The sequence below is a fragment of the Homo sapiens genome, chromosome 16 (assembly GCF_000001405.40).
Source record: "Homo sapiens chromosome 16, GRCh38.p14 Primary Assembly".
NCBI classification, from domain to species: Eukaryota; Metazoa; Chordata; class Mammalia; order Primates; family Hominidae; genus Homo; species Homo sapiens.
The window spans coordinates 88142047-88163208 of NC_000016.10; the positions used below are offsets into that span (position 1 = coordinate 88142047).

General features: G+C 54.8%; 1 protein-coding gene across 1 annotated transcript in view, besides 1 other annotated feature; it reads left to right on the forward strand.

The window, feature by feature from the left end:
* Positions 1-21162, forward strand: part of ZNF469 (zinc finger protein 469) — a 339823-nt gene that overhangs the window by 41116 nt on the left and 277545 nt on the right. The gene's annotated exons all lie outside the window — the stretch shown is intronic.
* Positions 5642-6269: an enhancer, noted in NCBI's record as "H3K4me1 hESC enhancer chr16:88181294-88181921 (GRCh37/hg19 assembly coordinates)". NCBI's record gives its function as "activates a minimal SCP1, AML or CMV promoter by ChIP-STARR-seq in primed H9 embryonic stem cells {active_cell/tissue: H9 hESC(primed)}" and the evidence as "EXISTENCE:reporter gene assay evidence [ECO:0000049][PMID:30033119]".

The window sequence follows — 21162 nt, forward strand, 5'->3', positions numbered from 1 at the left end:
AGATGCCTGATGCAGATGATAGGAAATAGTCCACAGCGGCCAGGATCTCAACAGGCTTCCAGGGGAACAACACAGCGATGTCCAAGGGTGCGTCCAGGGTGAAACTGCAGGGCCACGTTCAGCACAGGGAAGCAGAGAAAGAAGGTGAGAATAAATCAGCTGTCCTTCCTGCAAGACCCGGCTGGGCGGGGGGTCTGGGAAAGGCTGCCCTGGGAGGGTGAGCAGGTTCCCTGGGCTCTCAGCCACAGCCCTGCCCTGCTTTGCTAGGTCAGGCGAAGGCACCTGACCTTCACCTCCTGGCCCTGGCCCTGCCATCCAGGCTGGGCAGATGATGTTGGCGGGCCAGAATCCTGCGAGGGTTATCCTGAGGCTCGAAAGTGGAAATAGATGGGAGGGACCTTGAAAAGCTCAGAGTGATGCCTAAGCGGGTCCTTATCAACAGCCCAGTGTGAGCCTCAAGCACTGAACTCCAGCCTCAGGACTGAGAAGGTCCTTATCAACAGCACAGACCTCAGCGTGAGCCTCAAGTCTCAGGAGCTTGAAGAATGGCTTCTGTTTACTGAGCACACGTGATGTGCCAGGTGTGGCCCTGGGGCTCGAACTCTATTGCCTGGTCTATAAAGCACATGTCACCACCCTGTTTTACAGAGGAGGAAACTGAGGCTTGGGGAGGCTCATCAGCTCACCCTGCGGGGAGTCGGCCGGCAGCAGCTGCGTCGCTGTGGATCCCACCCGAGGGTCCCTGATGTGGGTCACACCTGTGTGCTGGCTTTAATCCCCAGCCCCACCTGGATGTGCAGCCTGGGGCCAGCATGGCCCACAAGGGTGGGACGGATGGCATCGTCACCCTCCACGCACAGGGGCCTGAGAGCACAGGGCCCCTCAGGGAGAGCCCCTGCGGCAGAATCAGAGTCTCAGGAATAAAGACAAGCAGAGGTCTCAGTTTCTCTGCCTGAAAACTGGGGGTGGCAATCCCCACCTCACCGGCCTGTGATTAGGATGGGAGGAGACAGGCTGAGATGGGGCCCCAGGCACTTCACCGACACCCGGTGAGCACTCACCGAATCCTCACCTGGAGAAGCCCTGGGGGGGTGGGGGGCTCAGCGGCCCTGCCCACGGAATGCCCACCTGGAGCTTCTTCAGTCATGGCATCAGGGGCAAGTGCTTGATCGTTTTGTGCCTCAGTTTCCCCCTGTGTCAATGGAGATTTCAGCAGTTCCAACCTGTTCAACACCATGAAGATGGAATAGGTTAGCGTGCTTAACGCACTCAGGGCCGTCTCCAGCCTTAAGGAGGCACCACTCAGAGCGGGGTGGAGCGCCTAGCGGGGTGGGGTGCAGAGCGGGCTGGGGCGCCGAGCAGGGTGGGGCACCGAGGCTGTGTTCCTTGTTGCTGGGGGGATACAGATGCCCCCCCACTCCTTCCCCCTAAGACGCAACCACCAGCCTGGAACTGGAAGTGGGGATCACCCCCACCTTCGGGCCTCTGCTCCCCCCATGCGTGGCCCATGGCCATGCGTCTCCCTGCAGCAGGAGAAGAAAGCCAGGAGGTGGCCCAGGCCCAGGGCTGACATGTGTCAGACACGGGTGAAAATGCTGCCTTTGTGTCTGACGTCTGTCTCTTGCTGTTAAATGATGACAGCTTGTCAGAAACATCACACACGTTTGCTCTAATTAAGGGAACGTTGTGAACAAGTCGCAGCCTTGCGGGGAGCGGTCCCGGCTGGATGTGTCCTCTGATCGGCCCCTGCCTGTGTCCTCCCAGGCCATGCACTGGCTCTGTGTCTCCTGCATCTTCACTTGTCTGCCTGGCTGGCGGCCAGCGGCACCAGACCAAGGACCCGCCGCTATTTCCCTGTGTTCGCTGCCTTCCTCTTCGCAAGGACACCGAGAGCCCCTGGCTCTGGGCCTCCCATCTGCCCTTCCTCCCGCCCATCGTCAGCGTTTACGAGGGTCTGCCACGTGCCAGGCGCAGGGGAAACGGCGCAGGGTCAGAGGCAGAACCCGCCTGCTGGGGAGACAGGAGTGGGGAGTGGCCTCACACCCCAGAGGAGGGGATGGAAGAGGTACGCCCGGGGCCGTCCCGGAGCAGGGCAGAGGCTTGGTCCAGCCTGTGGCAGTGAGCAGCCGGTGGGACAGAGGCCACAACAAGGCCAAAGGCGTGGTGGGGAGGGCGGGGGGCGTCTCTCTGGTCCCGGCAGAGCTGCCAGTCCCTACTACGTCTGTTTGTTGATTGGGTCACGTTTAACTTCGGGAACCATGCACAGTGTTGGCCAGGAGATGCCATAACCAGAATAAAACAGGACTCTGCCTGGCGTCAACGTAGCTGTCTCATGTCCTTTCAGGAGGTAGGGCAGAGATAAGGGGATGGTGTGATTAACGCCAGCTGCCTCTGCCCTGGTGGAGAGGACGGAGGACATCACGTCCCTCCAGCCACCCCAGCCCGTGACACGTGACATTTAAAGATTTTTCTTGCTCTTTGAGGCACATTTTTCTATTTTCAAGGACAGATGAGGTCACAGACGCAGTGTGTGCTGCATTTGAAATGTTTTAGGCTAATTTTTGGCCTTTGATTCCAAAGCCTCTTTAAGACGTATGTTCTCTCTGTCATCACCCGTGTGGCCCAGCGAAATCCTGAACTCTAAGGAGAAGGCGAAGCTCTATCCTTGCTTTTCAGCCTCAGACAGTGAAGTGAGAAGTTCAACTTGTTGGGTTTTGTAGCTGTTTTCTCCTTGTTTGCTAGACGTGTCCATATTCTAGAGTCTCTTATCTTGGGAAGTTACATGCCCTGTTTTTGCCCCCCTTTTTTTTTTTCTCTTTTTGAGGCGGGGTCTCGCTCTGTAGCCCAGGCTGGAGTGCAATGGTGTGATCTCGGCTCACTGCAACCTCCGCCTTCCGGGCCCATGCAATTCTCAAGCCTCAGCCTCCTGAGTAGCTGGGATTACAGGCTCCCACCATGACGCCCAGCTAATTCTTATATTTTTAGTAGAGACAGGGTTTCACCATGTTGGCCAGGCTGGTCTCGAACTCCTGACCTCAAGTGATCCGCCCACCTCAGCTTCCCAAACAGGCATGAGCCACTGCACCCGGCCCATTGTTGCCTATTTAACGATTACAAAAAAAAAAATCTTTAAACTTAAGTGACCTTAAGTCCCAGGGAAGGGTGATGTGTCATGTTCAGGGAAACAGCTTTGCAGTCAACCGACTAGCATTTTAAAAGCAATTATTTTGGAGCATTTCAAACACACACACATAATGAATGCATGCCACCTGGGGCTGGGCCACAACACCACGGCCCCTCGTGCTATCTCTGCTCCCCCCACCTCCCCTCCCACTGGGCTATTGGTGGCAAATCCCAGATGCCTTTCTCAAACTCACGCATTGGAATCCCACAGCACTAGCTTTGCCATCCAGCCCCTGCGAGCCTCGTGCTTGGCCGCTGTTCACCGGGCCGAGCTGCCCTCTTGGGTTTGCCGCTGTTGGTGCAGAGGTGCCTGCGATGGGCCCAGGGTGGTGGTTCTGCTGCCAGGTCTGGTCTTCCAAATGGCTTCTAATTTCTTCTGGCAAGAATTCTCCTCTCTGGCTCCCCTAGGGGCCCAGTGAAGACCAGAGCTGGATGTTGTGTCCTGGCTGGGCTTTCACGTCCTCCTTATTCCCGATCCCAGGGGGCCTCTTGCCCCGTCGCTGCAGGCTTAGGGTGCTGCCCCAGCCCCCAGTGCCGGGCAACTGCTCTGCAGAAGGATGCTTGGGAGATGGACGGGCTCCCCCTGCCGCTGGAGCCTCCTGTGGCCCGAGGCCATGAGGGCAGTGGGTGGCAGATGTGGGGTGATGAGTGGTGAGTGTCCTGATGGGGCCTTCAGACCAGGGCCCAGCGGTCCGGCCTCTGGGAAGTGGCCGAGAAGCTGGAATTTTCCCAGCCGGCCTCGCAGTCCCGTGTTGGGAGACTGGGCCACTTTGTGTTTTCTGGGCTTGAGAACAGGAACAGCAGCTTCATCCAACACCGCCTCCCTCCACACGGTGCCCGGTGCAGGGCCTGCCTGCTCGCCCTGGCTGTGCACCCCTCCTTGCTGCCTGTAATGCCGGAACCACCAGCTCCTTGGGCACAGTCCAGGCTGCTCAGGCATCCATGCACCAGCGGCACCACGACCCACCCGGGCCCAGGTGACTAGACTCAGGACTCAGACAGTGCCTGGCACGTGGCAGGTGCTCTGGCCGTGGCGGGGGGGCAGGGACCCTCGCTGCGGGCCACCGTAGCACATCCTCAAGGGTGAGGTCAGGCCCTTCTGGCTGTCTTTGTGCCTGCTCCATTTATTAAATCAAAGCCACCTGTGTTCTCTGGGGTCAGGAGGAGCCATGCCACCTGCAGTGGCAGCCGTGGCTGGAACCTTCTTCCCTGTGGACCCGGGTCTCACGCCCCCAGGTGCAGCACAGAGCTAAGGTGAGGCCCGGGGAGAGTGGCACCCTCCCCCCAGTCTCAGCCCCCGTGGGGTTTTCTGGGCTCCTGGGAAAGAATCTGGTGGCCAGGGCCCAAAGCAGAAGCCCCAGGGATGGGGACAGCTCTTCTCTCCCACCGTCTCCAGTCTCTGCCCTGGGGACGGCTGCTCCCGTGTGCTGTGCATTTGTGGGGGGGCATTCCTTACACCTCTCCCTGGCCCTCCACACAGCACAAGGGTGGTTTCCAGCCCATGAGATCCATTTGCACCTGAGAGAAGGGGCTGCTGTCTGAAGGGCCTGCGGGAGGGACTCCAGGGCACTCACGGGGCTTCCAGGATGGAAGGGACCCCTGGGGCTGAACGTGACCAACGGGTGGACTAAGGCTGAAGGGGCCGGAAGAGCACGCTGGAAGAGAGGGCAGTGGGGCTTCCAGCACGGTACAGCGTGGGTGGCCTCCTGGGGGTGTCTCAAGCTCAGAGAAACTGTCCCCACGTCAGGAGGGGTCTGCTGAATAACAGCCCCAGAGGCATCCATGTCCTGATCCCTGGATCCTGCAAACATGTGCCCTCACGTGGCAAAAGGGACTTTGCAGATGTGACTGAGGTTCCCTTTCCAGGGAGAGGACCCTGGATTCCCTGTCATCTCAAGTCCTTGGAAGAGGAAGGCAGAAGGACGAGGCCACGGAGAGACTGGAGCTGCCACGCAGCTGGCTCTGATGGCAGAGGAGGGGCCACGAGCCAAGGGATGTAGGGGCCTGGGAAGCTGGAAAGGTGGGGAAGATTCTCCCCTGGAGCCTCCGGGAGCAGCCAGCCTGCCCGTGCCCTCACCGTAGCCCAGGGAGACTGGAGTCCCACGTCGACCTCTGACCTTCAGCGCCAAAGTCAGTCCATGTTGTTTTAGCCACAGAGACTGTGGCCATCGTTCTGGCAGCAGTGGGAGACACAGGAAGCTCTCGGGTGGGGAGCACCGACTGGGGTCCAGGGCTGCGAATTCAGGCCGATGGAATCCCAGCCCCCAGGGGTGTGGGTGGGAGCCAGGAGAGATTCTGGTCGGTGCTGGGAGGAGAGGCCAGGCTGCTTTCACTCTCAGGGAGGGGCCTGTGAGTTGGAGGAGGTGGGGACCTCCAGGCCAGTGAGCAGAGCACCTGCTGGGTGCAGTGTGCTCACGGGACGCTGTGCCCCCTGCCAGCTAGGGAGTCCCTGGGCAGCTGCTTGCTCAACCCTGGGGCATTCCAACATACCCCTTAGACTGTGAGCATGTTGGATGCAAACTGGCCTCCTGGTCATCACAGGGGCTTCCTGCCCTCCACAGCCCACGTGCAGCTGACCAGGCAGCTGAGCTCAGAGAATATCCCATGTGGAGGCAATCTGAGTGTTGAAGAGAAACCACAGCCTATGGAAGGGACCCCTGAGTGTTGAAGAGAAATCACAGGCGGCAGTGATTGTGGCTTCCTTCGTCGTTGTGTGTACACCAGCGGTCACCTGTCTTTGCACCCCACTCTGAAGCCTGCAATGGGGCAGCGATTGCAGCTTCCTTCGTCGTTGTGTGTACGCCGGCGGTCACCTGTCTTTGCACCCCGCTCTGCAGCCTGCAGTGGGGCGGCGACTGCAGCTTCCTTCGTCGTTGTGTGTACGCCAGCGGTCACCTGTCTTTGCACCCTGCTCTGTAGCCTGCAATGGGGCTTTCCCCCAGTTCCTCCCACGCATCAATGTGTGTTCACTCACCAACTTGCCCCTCTGAGGGGCAGAGGCGTGTGGTGTTTTGCTCCTTCAGAGACTCCCTCGGGGCCTCGTTCCCAGCTCCACCACCCCCATGGGGCCTGCAGCATGTTCTGCACATGAATGCCCCAGCACAGGAGGTCCAGCCACACAAGAGGATGCCCTGCTCCATGCCGGACACACACCAATGGCCCAAGGAGAGCGGAGTTGGCCCTGGCGCGGTGCCTCCCACCAGCGTCCCACTCTGTGAGGTCTTTCTTTAATCACGAATCCTAAGGGAGGAGGTCTCCTGTGGGGCACAACTGGCCAGAGGGGCAATGTGGAAGCCTGGCTGCGGCACCAATGTCTCTGTGAATTGCAGCTCCTTTGAGCTCATGGGACCCTTTCTCCAGGGTCCCTGAGCTCCCAGGTCACTGGTGTCCTTGAGGCAAACCCCCTTCCAGAAGCTGTCAGTGGATCCGGGCCTTGGATGGGCTCCTCCCTCTGGGCTTGGCAACCCTGTCTCAGGCGTCTGCCACCACCCTGCCTTGGTGGCGGTGAGGCTGTCATCATTCTGGGGCTGGGCTGTTGGGAGGCGTCGTGCTGGGGCCAACTCTGTTCTCACTGGGCCGTTGGCCTGAGTCCGGCATGGAGCTGAGCATCCCCTTGTGTGGCCATGACCTCTTGTGCCGGGGGGTTCATGTGTGGGACACGCTGCAGGGTCCTCAGGACTCAGACAGTGCCTGGCACGTGGCAGGTGCTCTGGCCGTGGCTGGGTGGCAGGGACCCTCACTGCGGGCCACCATATCACATCCTCAAGGGTGAGGTCAGGCCCTTCTGGCTGTCTTTGTGCCTGCTCCATTTATTAAATCAAAGCCACCTGTGTTCCCTGGGGTCAGGAGGGGCTGGGCCTGGTTCATTTGTCATTGTTCAGAGTCAGAAGCTGAGCTCACAGTCTTTCCTCCAAGGTCACACAAGGTCTCCTGGTACCACATCAGCTGATATTGTGGAACTTCTCCTTGAAGGACAGCAGCCAGGCCCGCTTCTTTGTGCTCTTCCTGGAAAGAGATGTGCACAGGCCACATGGGAGACCTCCGTGGGCTCTCCGGCCTTCACTCGGCCAGAGATAATTCCCCTGGTGAGTGCTGGGCGGGAGAGATTTCCATGGATTCATTTTCACAGAAAAGACCAAAGCCGTCCAGCCGCCCCTTATCTGTCAGGCCGGTGTCTGTGTCCTGACAGAGGCCATTTGTCGGCCCCCGCCTCTCCTGCCCTGTCTCTGTGCAACCGCAGCCTGAGTGCAGAGATGGGCGCATCCCTGAACAACCCTTTCTGCTTCTCCTGACACCCTTTGCAGCGCTGTGGCTTGGGGAGTGGAGTTTAGCAAGCAGTGGGCGAGTCTTGCACTCAGTCCAAAAGTAGCAAGGGGACTGATTTGTACCATGGTCTCACCACTGAAGAACCCCCCGCACCCCCAGCAGCTCCTGGAGACATGGATGATGCCAGGACAGCAGCTCCCGGAGACACGGATGATGCCAGGGCATTGGGCCTCAGCTCCTGGCTGCAGCTTTACCCCTGACACGTGCTGGGCAGGCTCTCTTTCCCTCTTTCAGTCTCAGGTTTCTCCTCAGAAAACAGGCTGAGGAACTGGTCTATAAACTCCTTTGCCCCCAGTGAACTCCTACTTATCCTTCAAAGCCCTGTTCACATGCCCCTCCTCTCCAGGTGGACAGGCATTGCCATCCTCCAGCTTTGCTGTGCTCCCCATAGAACTTTCCAGGTGTTGCCTACCTCTGTCAGGCAGGGGCACAGCCCCCCAGCACATCACTGGGTTCAAAAAACATTTGTTGGTTAGGAGCAGTGATTCATGCCTATAATCCCAGCACTTTGAGAGGCCGAGGCGGGTGGATCACCTGAGGTCAGAAGTTCGTGACCAGCCTGGCCAACATGGTGAAACCCCGTCTCTACTTAAAAAATACAAAAATTAGTTGGGTGTAGTGGTAAATGTCTGTAATCCCAGCTACTTGGGAAGCTGAGGCAGAAGAATCGCTTGAACCCGAGAGGCGGAGGTTGCAGTGAACCGAGATCACACCACTGCACTCCAGCCTGGGTGACAGGGCGAGACTCCATCTCAAAACACAAACAAAAAAACCAAACAAATAAACTAAAAAATGTGCTGCAAAAATCAATTTAGAGCCATTTTCCTCTCTGGATTCAGTTACAGCTGTTTTTTGGTTTTTGTATAAATATTTCGAAGGGCAAGCCATAGCATCTGGGTAAAATCTAGACTTGCCCTCTGAGCTGCCTCCACGTTCAGGTGGGTGTTAGGGTCATCCGGAGGGGTTGCTGATGGCAAATAGCTGCTCCCCCTTTGTGGGTGGACTCTCAGTGCCTGGAACAGTGCCCAGGAAGCTGCATTGTGAATCAGCCCTTCAGGCGACTGGCTGCAGGTGGTCTTTGGACCCACGGTGAAAATCCTGCCGGCCTGGGAAAAGTGCCATGAACAGGAAGCACCAGGACTGGGTGGGGCCGATTCGGGAGCTTTGAGCTTTCCAGGTTCGAGTTTCCGGACTTTGGGAGGGGGGTGGGAGGGCGCTAATTTTGAGGAAGCAGCCTCTAAGGAAGAACATGAAACTGGCCCGGCCGTAGAAGCGCCGTGGGGTTCCGGTAGGCAGGCTGTGGAATTCTGCGCCACGTCATTCATCTCTCGCCACGGTGGGGAAACTGAGGGTAGAGGCAGGGGTTTGAATTCCTCAGGCCCGGGGAAGGGGTTTCGAGCCATGGAGTTTGAAAGTATCGTCCAAAGAAGTCCAGGAAGAAAGTGCTTATGTATAATTTACGACTCACTAATGAAAATGGCACAGAAGTGACACGCGACTCCAGAGCCAGCACCCGTCCAGGTGAAGCCCCACAGGGGGCAGCTTTCTGGGACCTCAGTGAGCTCCTCTGCCGGCTCAACCCAAAGGCAGCCCCTCTGCAAACAAAGTCTTATTCCTTTGAAACAGGAACCCTCAGGGGCCGCCTGGGGACTGGTGCCGACTGTCAAACCCAGCAGACGGGCTTCATCCAGGCCTCGACTGTCAGCCGGGACGACCCCAGATCACACGGGCGCGGGCCGTGGTCAGCCAGGAGCGTCCACGTGGTCAGCCAGCCTGATGTGTTCGGTGACTCAGCCAAAGCTTAAAACACGGAAGCCGGGGAGCGCTGGGCGGCTGCGTGTCAGAGAATGAGTGTTTCCCGATGGAACGGCGGGACAGAAATGGCCGCAGACTCTCCCTGCTTCCAACCAATTTCGCTTTGCGGTGCTCACCTGTAAGCGACTGTCCAAAAGTCCACAGATGCGCAGGGCTCTGGGTGAGACCTCTGCCAGGGTGGCGTCTGCTGCAGTCCTTTGCTGTTAATATAACTGTGTGCCTCACACCACTGCTTCTAGTGTCTTCCGTGTGGATTGGTAGGCACCATTAGTATCATAATCATTCTTTTAAAACCAAACAATACTTGTGTGCACCCTCAGTTGGCTGCTGCTGTAAATGTTCCCCGTAACCCAACCTGCTGGTCGAGAAGGATCCTCGTTCGGCCACTTCTGAATTGCAAGCTACAGCTCCCAAGAACCTGAGCCCAGGCTTTGGCAGGAAGCCTCCAACAATTTTTAAGGCACCTTAGTAAAGACGTCCCCGCATTCATCACAGCAAAAGTGCAGAATTGCTCTGAGCAACAAAGTCATGGAACCCAGAAACTCAGAAAACCCTTTTCTGATAAATAAATACTTGTGTAAAAGATGTTTCTGCGGAGGAGCTGATGTTCCCACACCAGCAGTAGATACTCCCTTCTTACACAGAAGAGATGGAAACGCCTGCTTCTCAGCTCTTGGGGGCAGGGTGTGGGGAAAGCCCCACAGAGAGAGCTGGCTTTGGAGAAGATGGCCTGGAGGTGAGGCCATGGGTGGAGGAGGGCAGGCGTCTCAGGCTGTGGATGCAAAAACAATTCTGAGAACTGTAGCGAAAGGAAGATTTCATTTTAAATGTGTTGAAAAAATCACCATTTGGCTAAGATTCTGCACCGGGCCCCACCTTGCTCTGGCCCTAACGCGTAACCCTCTGAGATGGGCTTTGGCGTTGGAAAAGTCACGGGCAGCCATGAGCAGCCTACAGACACGCTCTGGTTTCCATAGCTCTCCAACACTCCTCTGCAGGGTTTCTTCTGGGGCTGGGGGAGCGCAGCTGCTTTTCCGTCTATGGTGCTGGCCGAGGCTGGGGCCGGGGCCTCGGCAGCTGTGGATTTTGGCTGCCCCCGCGGTCCCAGATCCGTGCTGCTGATGTCTGCTTGGCGCGCTGGATGCCTCTCTGTGGAATCTGTCCCTGGCTGGGTCTTCTGTTGAGCCCCCCTGTGCCAGCCCTGACGGAGTCCTGGCGTCCACAGGCGGGCTCTGTGGTGCTTTGTAGCTACCTCTGTGCTAATTGGAAAAAACCATTTGCCCCTACCTGGGCCTCTGGATGGATTTTTTTTTAATGTAAGAATTACTTAGCAGTTGGTAAATCACTTCCCTCTCTTCATTTCCAGAGAAACTGTCCCTTTCTGGGAAGGCGAGGGTCGGAAGGACTGCAGAGTTGCCAGGGAGGCCGCAGCCAGGGTGATTTGCTTTGTGTTTCTGACACAAACCGCTGTCTAATGATTTCCCAGACTTAAACCATTTGCGTTTTCATTAATGGTTTTGGAGCCGGGGCAAGTTTCTGTCAAGGGGATCAGCTCCAAATGCCGTCTCCTCCACCTCACTGGCCGTGAAGGGCTCTGGCGGGGCATGCCCCCAGCACCGTGGCTCCGGCTGGCGTCTGCTGCTGTGGTGACGTTCTGCACTGTATGGGGGGTGGCGCGAGGGTTCCCTCCCACGACAGGATATTTCTTTCTGAACTCCTGCTGCCCCGGGCAGGTTGGCGGGGCCGGGGGTGTGGACAGTGCCCAGCACAGGCTGGACAGGGTATCCCATTTCCAGCCCAATCTCGTTCTCTCTGCACTCCGGGAACCCAGGTGGGGGGCTGAATGGCTGCACCACAGCGGAGCCTCCAATCAGGGTGTTCCGGGGTGTCCCCTCGCCTTCGTGGGGGGCCTGCGGTGGTGCTGGGCTCCACACTGAGCACCCTAACCCTAGTTATTCCCTGTATCCCTTCACATGTAAAGCAATGGGCTGGTCTAGAAGAGTCTCCGTTGTCTCTTCCGATGCTAACACCTTGGTATCGGTGATGCTACCTGGTGTTTTGGAAGCAAAACAGTGGCTGGGAAAATAAGGTAGAATTTACCCATTGCCCTGAGGATTTTTCCCGAGTGGGTAGAAGGATGCACCTGCCCGTCACAGGGTGAGGTTGACCTTTGCTTATGGGGACACAAATGGCACGTGCAGGCGAGAAGGTCATAGCAGCCCTCAGCAGGGTCGCTGACTGTGGACTGCGGGAGGCCTTGTGTTAGCCCAGGCCGCCTGCAAGGCACACAGCCCCGGGTGCCTGAGGCAGGCGCTTGCTGCTGAGAGTTCTGGAGGCTGCAAGTCCAAGGTCAAGGGCCCTACAGAGTTGGATTCCCTGAGGCCTTTCTCCATGGCCTGCGGATGGCGTCTCCTCCCCCATGTCCTCACAGGGCCTTCCCTCTGTGCATACATCGGGGTAGAATGAGAGTGAGAGAGAGAAGGGGAGACAGAAATCCCTGGTGTCTCCTCCTCTCCCTAGGGGGCACCGGCCCCAGTGGATCAGGGCCCCACTCTCAAAGCCTTATTTATCCTAAGCCCCCTCCTTAAAGGCCCCATCTTCAAACACAGCCACACTGGGGCCTAATTAAGCCTCAAGGTATGAATTTGGGGACACAGCTCAATCCACAGGAGGTGTGAATTAGTGTTTCCAGCTTCTCCGGTCCTCTGGTCAGTCTCCATCATGGTGTGTAATGGCACCTTGCCAAGCCTTCATGCTTTTCTAAGCATCTTTTTTGTTTGTTGGTTTGTTTTTGTTTTGTTTTTTGAGATGGATTCTAGCTCTGTCGCCCAGGCTGGAGTGCAGTGGCGTGATCTCGGCTTACTGCAACTTCTGCCTCCCGGGTTCAAGTGATTCTCCCGCCTCAGCCTCCCAAGTAGCTGGAATTACAGGCATGCGCCACCACGCCCAGCTAATTTTTGTATTTTTAGTAGAGATGTAGAGATGGGGTTTCGCCATGTTGGCCAGGCTGGTCTCAAACTCCTGACCTCAAGAGATCCACCCACTTTGGCCTCCCAAAGTGCTGGGATTACAGGTGTGAGCCACCGCACCCGGTCTGCCCCATTGCTTCTGTCAAAAAACACTTTGGGAAGAACCATGGTACCATCGTAGAAAGTTCTGCCATTTCCAGGCCACTGTGTTTCCTGATTGAAGCCTCGCTGGCCTCCAAGGCCAGCATATCCCCATCACCATTTGCTGAGGAGGAGCTGAGGCTCAGAGAGAAGGGCTGGCTGCTCACTTTCCTGTTTGTAAGGGCTGCTTAGACTCGCTATTTTGTGAGCTGCATGGGGCGGATTCTGTTCATTTGTCTATCACTGTCTGTGTCCCTAGAGCAGCATCTGCCACATCACAGGCAGCTGCCCGTGCCATCGAGGGGACGGTGAACGCAGGCAGGGATGTGCACAGGAGTGGCACGGACGGGATTTAAGCCTGGGTCTTCTCGCTCCAGATCATGGGCTTTTTTCCTCACTAACCTGGCTTCTGATGTGACTCATCTACATCCAGGAACAGCTGGCAAGCGCTTCTGGGCAGTGGGGTGTGGGTGGCAGGGTTCAACCCGTGCTTTAATGTGGACATGAGCCACCTGTACGGCAGACAAAATGCAGATCCCGTCTGCAGGTCCAGGTGGGGCTGGAGATTCTGCATCACCAGCAGACCCGGGCACCACAATGCTGCTGGTTCACAGACCGCATTCCATGGGGTACAGGGCTAGGCTGGCACAGGTGAGGAGATGCAGAGCTGGGGACACAGACACAGAGCCTGCAAGTCCAGAGTGGGCCATGGAGCGCAGCTGCAAGTGCCGGCCCACAGGGCTGAGTTCAAGTCCTGCTTCTGCCATTGGTGTGTGTGCAGCCCCCTGCTGACCCTGCTGAACCTCCACTGTTTTGAATGACGGCTTTATTGAAGCATAATTTTCCTACCATACAATTCAGCTTTTTAAAGTGTACAAGTCAGTGATGACTGGTTATAGACATAGAGGTGTGCAGCCAGCACCAAATCAATTTTAGAGCATTCTTGTTGCCCCAAAAGGAAACTGTCCCCACTGAGCAGCCACTCCCATCCTCTCATCCCCCAGCCTCTGGCAACCAGTCCTCTGCTTCTGCTTCTGTGGATTTGCCAGTTCGGGATGTTTCACAGAACCGGGATCACACAAGACGTGGCCTCTGCCTGTGGCCTCTTTCACTCCAAATGGCGTTCTCCATCTATGTTGCAGTGTGGACCAGAACCCCATTCCTTTGTATGACTGAATCATATTCCATGGTGTGGATGGACCACAGTTTATGCATGAATTTGGTGGGAATTTAGGTCGTTTTCACTTTTTGGCCATTACAAATAACGCTGCTGAAAACACTGGTGCATCAGTTTCTATGTGGGCATCGGCTTTTGGTTCTTGGGTGTGCACGGAGGAGTGGAATTGCTGTGTTTAACTTGAGAAGCTGCACCATGACGTTCCCACTAGCAGTGCATGAGGGCCTCGTCATCGCCACGTTCTCATCAGCACTCACTGCTGTCTGCCTTCTTCTTACAGCCGTGCTTATAGGTGTGAGGTGCCTCTCGCATGATTGTGACTTGTACTTCTCTGGTGGCTGATGACACTGAGTACCTTTCCATGTGCTTGCTGGCCATTGTGTATCTGCTTTGGAAAAATGCCTGTTTAGTTCTTTTGCCCATATATTAATCAGGTTATCTGTCTTTTTATTATTGAGTTGTAGAGGTGCTTCATATAGTCCAGATACATGTTCCTTATCAGATGTGTGATTTGCAAGTAGTTTCTCCCATTGTGTGTCTTTTCACTTTCTTGATGATATCTTTTGCACAGAAGTTTTCATCTTGATGCAATTTATTTATTTGTTCTTTTCTTATGATGCTTTTGGTGTCATATATAAGAAACCATTGCCTGACCCAGGGTGATAAAGATTAATACCTTTGCTTTCTTCTAAGGCTTTTATAGTCTTACGTCTTACATTTACCCTTGATCTACTGTGAGTCCCTTTCTGTGTATGGTGTGAGGTAGGGGTTCAGCTCCATCCTATTGCACATGGATATCCAGGTGTCCCGGCACTGTTTGTTGAAGACTATTCTTTCTTCATCAAATAGTCTTGATGCCTTTGTTGAAAATCAATTGAACCTACATGTGAGAAGTTGAAGCGTTAGATTTATATCTTTGCAATCAGGATAAAAATTAATACCTGCATCATATTGCTATTACAAGGGTTGAATGAAATAATTCACAGGAGGGATGTCTTATCCATGCCCTGGCATCCTACAGACCCCTGGAGCACCAGGTGATGACAAAGTGAGGAGGAAGGACAGGGATGTTCTCTCCTGGAGGGACTTGAGGTGCTGCTGGGGGCTGGCTGGTGGGAAGCAAGCAGCATGACCCAGCTGACTGTGCAGGCAGAGGCTTCACCACTCCCAGCCCTGTCTTGTTGCCATGCCAACAACAGCCTGGCCCACGAACACCCAACCTGGCCAGCAGGGATGGAAATAATTACTCTGTCTTTTCACAGAGATGGACGATGATCTCAGGTGAGGGGCAGGGATTTGGCACAAAATGTCCTTGGTAACAAAGCCTCGAAGAAAACACAGCCCCAACAGTCATCTCTAGATGGGCCTCGGTGCCGGGGTTTCCTTGCTGGGCCTCCATGGCCCATGCAGCCGATGCAGGGATGCCCCTCCCCTCTGCAGGGCTCCTGTGTCCCGGAGGCTCCACAACCATCACTCATGAGCACCAGGGCACACAGGCAGCCGGCGCCACCGAGGGACATGCGCTTGTTGCTCTCTCGGGGCTGAAGCCGACACCCCCACCTCACAGGCTCTCTCAGGAAGGCCTGCTGTCTCAGTGCTCTTTCTCCCTGAACACTCGGTGCCTGATGGACTCAGTGGAGCCCCACAGCCTCAGGCGTGGGGCCCACTTTCTTCCACACAAGATGTTGCACCACAGGGAGGCCTGGGCTCTGAGCCTCTCTCCTACTCCAGGAATCCATTTGCACCAGTTCCACCTCCTGTGCAAAATTGCATGTGGACAGTTCGAGCTGTGTCCTGGTGAGGGCTCTCCTCTGTGTCACTGTGGCTCAGAGGGCAGCAAGCCTTGTCTGCCAGCCATGGTGAGGGTGGGACAGCACCCATCTCTCCTCCACCCTCCGCCACCCCCTCCCAAGGCCCCCAAACCTGCTCTTATCCACAGCACCATGACAGACCCTCTCAGGGGCTGGAAGTGCCATAGCAGATGGACTCTCTCAGGAAAGTTTATTTGGTTGGATGTGGGGCTGGTGAAGAAATGCCCAGCTCCCCGCTCCTGGTGGCCTCCTGGGCCCCAGATGCCTTCCCTCAGCCCCCATCCCGAGTCTGGGTCCAGGGCTCCAGGTGGGGGCTCCCTGTGTGTCATTGTTATATGACCGTGCCATCCTCGCCACTGCTGGGTGCCATGCCCGTACAAAGTGCTGGCACCTGGTGAGGATGCCTGGGTCTCTGCTGAATGACCAGGGATCCTGTGTTGGGGTTCACGGGCCCCTCATCCTCTCCTGTCCTGGAGAGGCAGCTCTAAGACCTGGATGCCACACGAGGCTCTGAGTGCTTTGCTCAAGACCAAGGCCACCTGGGCCGGCAACGTGGTCAGGTCCTGCTGCGGGGATGCTCCGGGGGTCTGCTCTTGGGGTGTCCGCCACCCCCAGGGGATGCCTTATTGCTTGCCTGAGCCCTATAGACTCAGGGTCCAGGGAGGGACCTGAGAATGTGCATTTCTGGCAAGTCCCCTGGGGGTGCTGCTGCTGGGGCCCCACCTTGAGAACCCTTGTTAGAGGCAGCCTCTGGGCCACACAGCAGGGAGGCGGGAGATGGGAGGTGGGGGCTGGGAGGCCAGGGAGTGGGGGCAGCTGTAACAAAGCCGAGGCTCTGTGCTCTCGCTGCTAGAGAGTGGGGTGGGGGCACGGGAAGCCCCCGGGGCAGGCAAGGGTGTCTGGGTTGCAGCCCCACCCACCCCGAGCTGCAAGGCGACATCCTGCCATCTGGGGGTGCTGTGGACCCCATGGGGAGGGTGGGAGAGCTCAGGCTGGGGGCCTCGGACTCCGACAGTGGAAGCACCACCTGCCACACCTTGAACTTGGGCACATGCCTGCCTCTGCGCAGAAGCCTGGCCTCATCTCTGCTGTCCCGGCAGCCTCTTGGTCAGGACTCAGGGCTGGACAACCTGGCTGAAGCCCACTCTCAGCAGGAGAGGACCGTGAGCCTGGAAAACGGAGGGGAAGAGATGGGAGAATGTGGCCACCGCTGCCCCTCTGCTGGGGAGCTCTGCTACTCTCTTCTAAAGTGGATCTGTGGCCTGTGGACAGCAGCTCCTGCCCTCCCTGGCGGGAAGCCAGGCCGAGTCAGAGTGCAGACAGGACTGGGGTCTGGGGGGCACCGGGCAGTGCAGGGGGGCAGAGCTCTGCAGGAAGACTCCTTTCCAGCTCCTGGGGCCCAGAATCAAGTTGTGGTTCTGAACCTACTGGGGCCTTCCGACATCCTCCTTCCCCAGACCTCGCTGGGGCAGGGACCTCAGCTCCCCAGGTGCACACGTGCTGGTCCAGTGGGGCTTCCTATGGGGTGGGTCAGTTTGTACAGAACTTGTGGCCTACGAGGTGATGTCTTATCAGTGCACCGGTCACGGATGCTCATATGGCTGTATGGACCACTCTCACCGTCCTGGTCACGGATGCTCACAGGGCTGTGCAGACCATTCTCACCGTCCTGGTCACGGATGCTCATATGGCTATGTGGACCACTCACTGTCCTGGTCACGGATGCTCACAGGGCCGTGCGGACCACTCTCACCGTCCTGCAGCGTCTGTCTGTGTGAGCTCTTTCCCCTACACCCTTGGTTTCCTCAAGATTGTCCATATGGTCTCAGGGCACTGCAGATTGTGGAAAAGATCAGGAGCGATTGTGCCTGTGTGTGTCCCGTGCAGTGTGCAGCACCCCAGAGGAGCCGTCTCTACCGTGCCACGGCTCACGGGTCCATCTGATCCCATCTTCTCAGAGTCCTGGGGGACAGGCCATGGCTCTGTGGATCTCGTGTCCATGTGGTGCACGGAAGCGCTTCAGGGATCTGGGAAGGGAAGGCCCGGACGGATGAGCGCAGAGTGTGGAGCGCAGCGTACGGAGAGAGGGGTGGGAAGGAGCAGCCCTTCCCCGCATTCTCGTCTCTAAATCAGCTTGAAGCAAAAACAACAGCTGAGCCTCCTTTTCTGACTTTGAAACAGAGCTGCCTTTCATCAAAGCCTCTAAGTGTTTATATTAACACTTTCCTATCATTTAAAATTATTTGCTGCATTCTCGGTGCTGTTTCTCACCTCCCGTTGTGCAATGGCTTTGTCGTCTTCACAGACACATGGGCAGCCATCTCTGTCCCTTGTCACCAGCGGTGGGCAGTGAGGCTGTCATCCCACAAAGCAAGGATGGTCCCTGAGGGATAAGAGAGTGAGGACTGTGAGGCGTCAGCACAGGCTCAGGGGAGGATCCTGCAGAAGAGCTGCCTCCCCCGTCTGAACTGGCAGCCTGTCTGATGGCAGAGGGAGGCAGCAGGTATTTGGGCCCAAGGCTGCCTGGATCACCTCGGGTAGCTTGTTTTCCCCCTTTCTGACTCAGTTTCCTGAAGTGTGAGTTCTGCTGGCTTTTCTCCTATCCCATATGGATGATCCTACCTATGCAGCTTTCATCAGTCCCACAGAACCCACCGAAGGGTGCTGACCCCTGTGCCTTTTTTCCAAATCCTGTGATTGCGACAAGGAAGGAGACTGGGTCTGGGACTAAGGAGCCACGGCTGTCGCTTGCCAATCTCCCTTTGGAGCAAAGAGACGGCAAATATCAGGCCTGGAGACTTTGGTGGGCAAGATTATCTCTCTAGAATGTAACAGATTTTTAAACGATTTTATTTTTGAAGTGACCTCCCATTGACAGCAAGAGATGCCGGTTTCCTTGTTAGGGCCGGCATCTGTCCGAGACCGGCATTTTTAATGAGGTATTGCTGTTGATCACTGCACTGGAATGTGCTTGGGGAGCAAGGGGTGCTGCCTGCGCACTTTGCACTCTGACCTCGTGCTCCTGGCTCCATCGCGGTCTTTTCTGCGGGTGCGGGAGGCATGTGGGCCGTGGGCAGAGGCCTGGCGAGGCCTGAGAGGAGCCACCAGCCCTTTCGCTTTTCTCAACTCTTTTCACAACAACTTAGCTAAAATCTTCCCTCTGGGGATCAGGTGGGTCCAGAACAAGGGGTTGGGGCACCACTGTGCCTCCCGCTGTTGTTAGGGTTGAGGCACTGCTGTACCTCCCGTTGGTGGTGGGAGAGGCGTGGCACCTGCTGCCCGGCTCTGACATTGCACCTTTTCCCACCCAGCAGCCTGCGAGATACACTGAGCCACCCAGCCGCCAGCAGGCAGGAACAGTGAGCAGCACAGGAAATAAAAAGGGTTTTAAAGGCCAGGTGCGATGGCTCACACCTGTAATCCCAGCACTTTGGGAGGCCGAGGTGGGCGGATCATTTGACATCAGGAGTTCAAGACCAGCCTGGCCAACATGGCAAAACAATGTCTCTATATTAAAAATACAAAAATTAGCTGGGCACTAAAAATATAAAATTTAGTGGCAGGTACCTGTAATCCCAGCTACTCAGGAGGCTGAGGCAGGAGAATCGCTTGAACCCAGGGGGCAGAGCTTGCAGTGAGCCGAGATCGCGCCATTGCACTCCAGCCTGGGTGACGGAGCGAGACTCCATCTCAAAAAAAAAAAAACGGGCTTTATTAATTCCATTGAAAAGTCCAACCTTAAAGGTACACTGATTTATCTTTACAAATACCAATTCTGGTGGAGCATAATAGCATGGTTAAAACAACGTTCTCCCTAAACGGTGACGATCTGTGGGGCGGAAATATTCTCCCTAAACGGCGACGATCTATGGGGCGGAAATATGCTTGGAACTGACAGTACTGCCTGCAGGTGTGTGCTCATCAGAATCTATTCCCAACACAGTAGAAGCGGATGTTTCAGGAGGTGCAGAGTGACTAGACCACAGCATGTGTGTGAGAAAACTGACACTGAATGAAAACACGAAACAAACTTCATCTCAGTCAGTGCTTTCTGTTTGTTGCCTGTCACCACTCAGCGTTTAGAGAAAACGTCCTTGCCTCTGTAAATCAAAGTGGCTCACGAGGGTATCGAAACTTTTCGTATGTGAGTGCTCTATAAATTTTGGTTGCATTTTATTCGGACTTCACTAGAAACTTCCAGTTATTCAATGAATGTTGTGCCAGAAAACATCAGTTTTGTAAGGGGAAAAAAAAAGCTAGCTCAAGGAAAGAAAAGAAGCTGAAATAAATGTTTCCCTGCAAAACCGAGGGACAGCCGAGGAAGCCAGATGACGTGAGCTTGCGTGGCTCGTGGACTTGGCGTGCAGTGTTACAGTTTTACTGTGCAATGTCCTGCACTTGGGCAAGAGTCTTCTGATGGAGTCCACATTTTTAAGTTGGATATATTTATATTCTGGACCCAAATGGAATGCCGTTGAGACAGCCTATGATTTTAGAGCATTTAAATTTAGTGAAACATTGGAAAGAATCACAAATAGAGACAACTTTTTGGAAGAGTTTTGCATGAAGATTTGTCCAATTTTTTTGTTTATGAAAAGTTCTCTGAATGGAGACAAAAAGATGGTACGTACACAAATAGCCTGGCTGAAAGAGCCACACATCTCCACATGGAAACATGAGAGTTGAGAAAATCCTCCATTTAGCCAACTTGCCCTGAGCTTCCTGGGTCTCTTAGACTCGTAGGAAGGGTATTTTTTCAATAAAATATTTCATACTACAGAGTAGAGTCAAAGCTGTCAACAATTTTTAATTTATCCATCACAAAATTCAACACTGAAAAAAATTGGAGGATATTTTATGAAAAATAAAAGAAATAATGAAAAAAGACATTCTTCAAAAAAAAAAAAAAAAACCACATCAATGACATAGTGTTAGAGCCAGAAATGCTTGAAGACTGAAATGAAGTTTGTAAGTATGTACCAAGAATAATTATTCTGCTTGTTTTTTAAGTGTAATCAATACAAAGGATTTTATAAAAAACATTTTGCTTTAATATACAGATCTATTGAAATAATTTATTTTTGATAATAGATTTTAAATAGAACTGTTTTATAAGTCTGCCAATAAAAATAAATACACACAAATGTCAGAAAATAAATAGGCATTTCAAAAAAGCATTTATCTTAACAATTCTTTTTAGTGCCCCCCCCCTTTTATTCTCTGTGTCTTGGTTTGCTTGGCAGTTTCCCTTGCCACCCTGGCAGTGTGTCATACATCACATTTGTGGAATGATTATTTTGTTCACTTTCCTTGCCCTTTATATAAAGGTACAAGTGATATCTTAATTATTTTTGTGTTAATTATTCACTCAATTCAGCTATCCAAAAAATACTTAGTGCCTACTCCAAGCTGGGTATTAGAACTTTGTAAACTCAGCATGTAGCAAGAGTATAGCAACACAAGGCCCTTTAAAGTTGGATGGACGGATGGTTGGGGAGGGAGTAGGTGTTGGATGGATGGGTGGGTGGATGAATGGGTAGATGGATGTGTGGATTGATGGGTGGCTGGATGAATGGATGTGTGGGTGGGTAGATGGATGGATGGATGGGTTGATGGATGCATGACTGGGTGGGTGGGTGGATGTATGAGTGGCATAAGTGGATGAATAGATGGGTAGATAGGTGGGCAGTTGTGTGGATGGGTAGACGGATGGATGGATGGATAGATAGAAGGATGGATG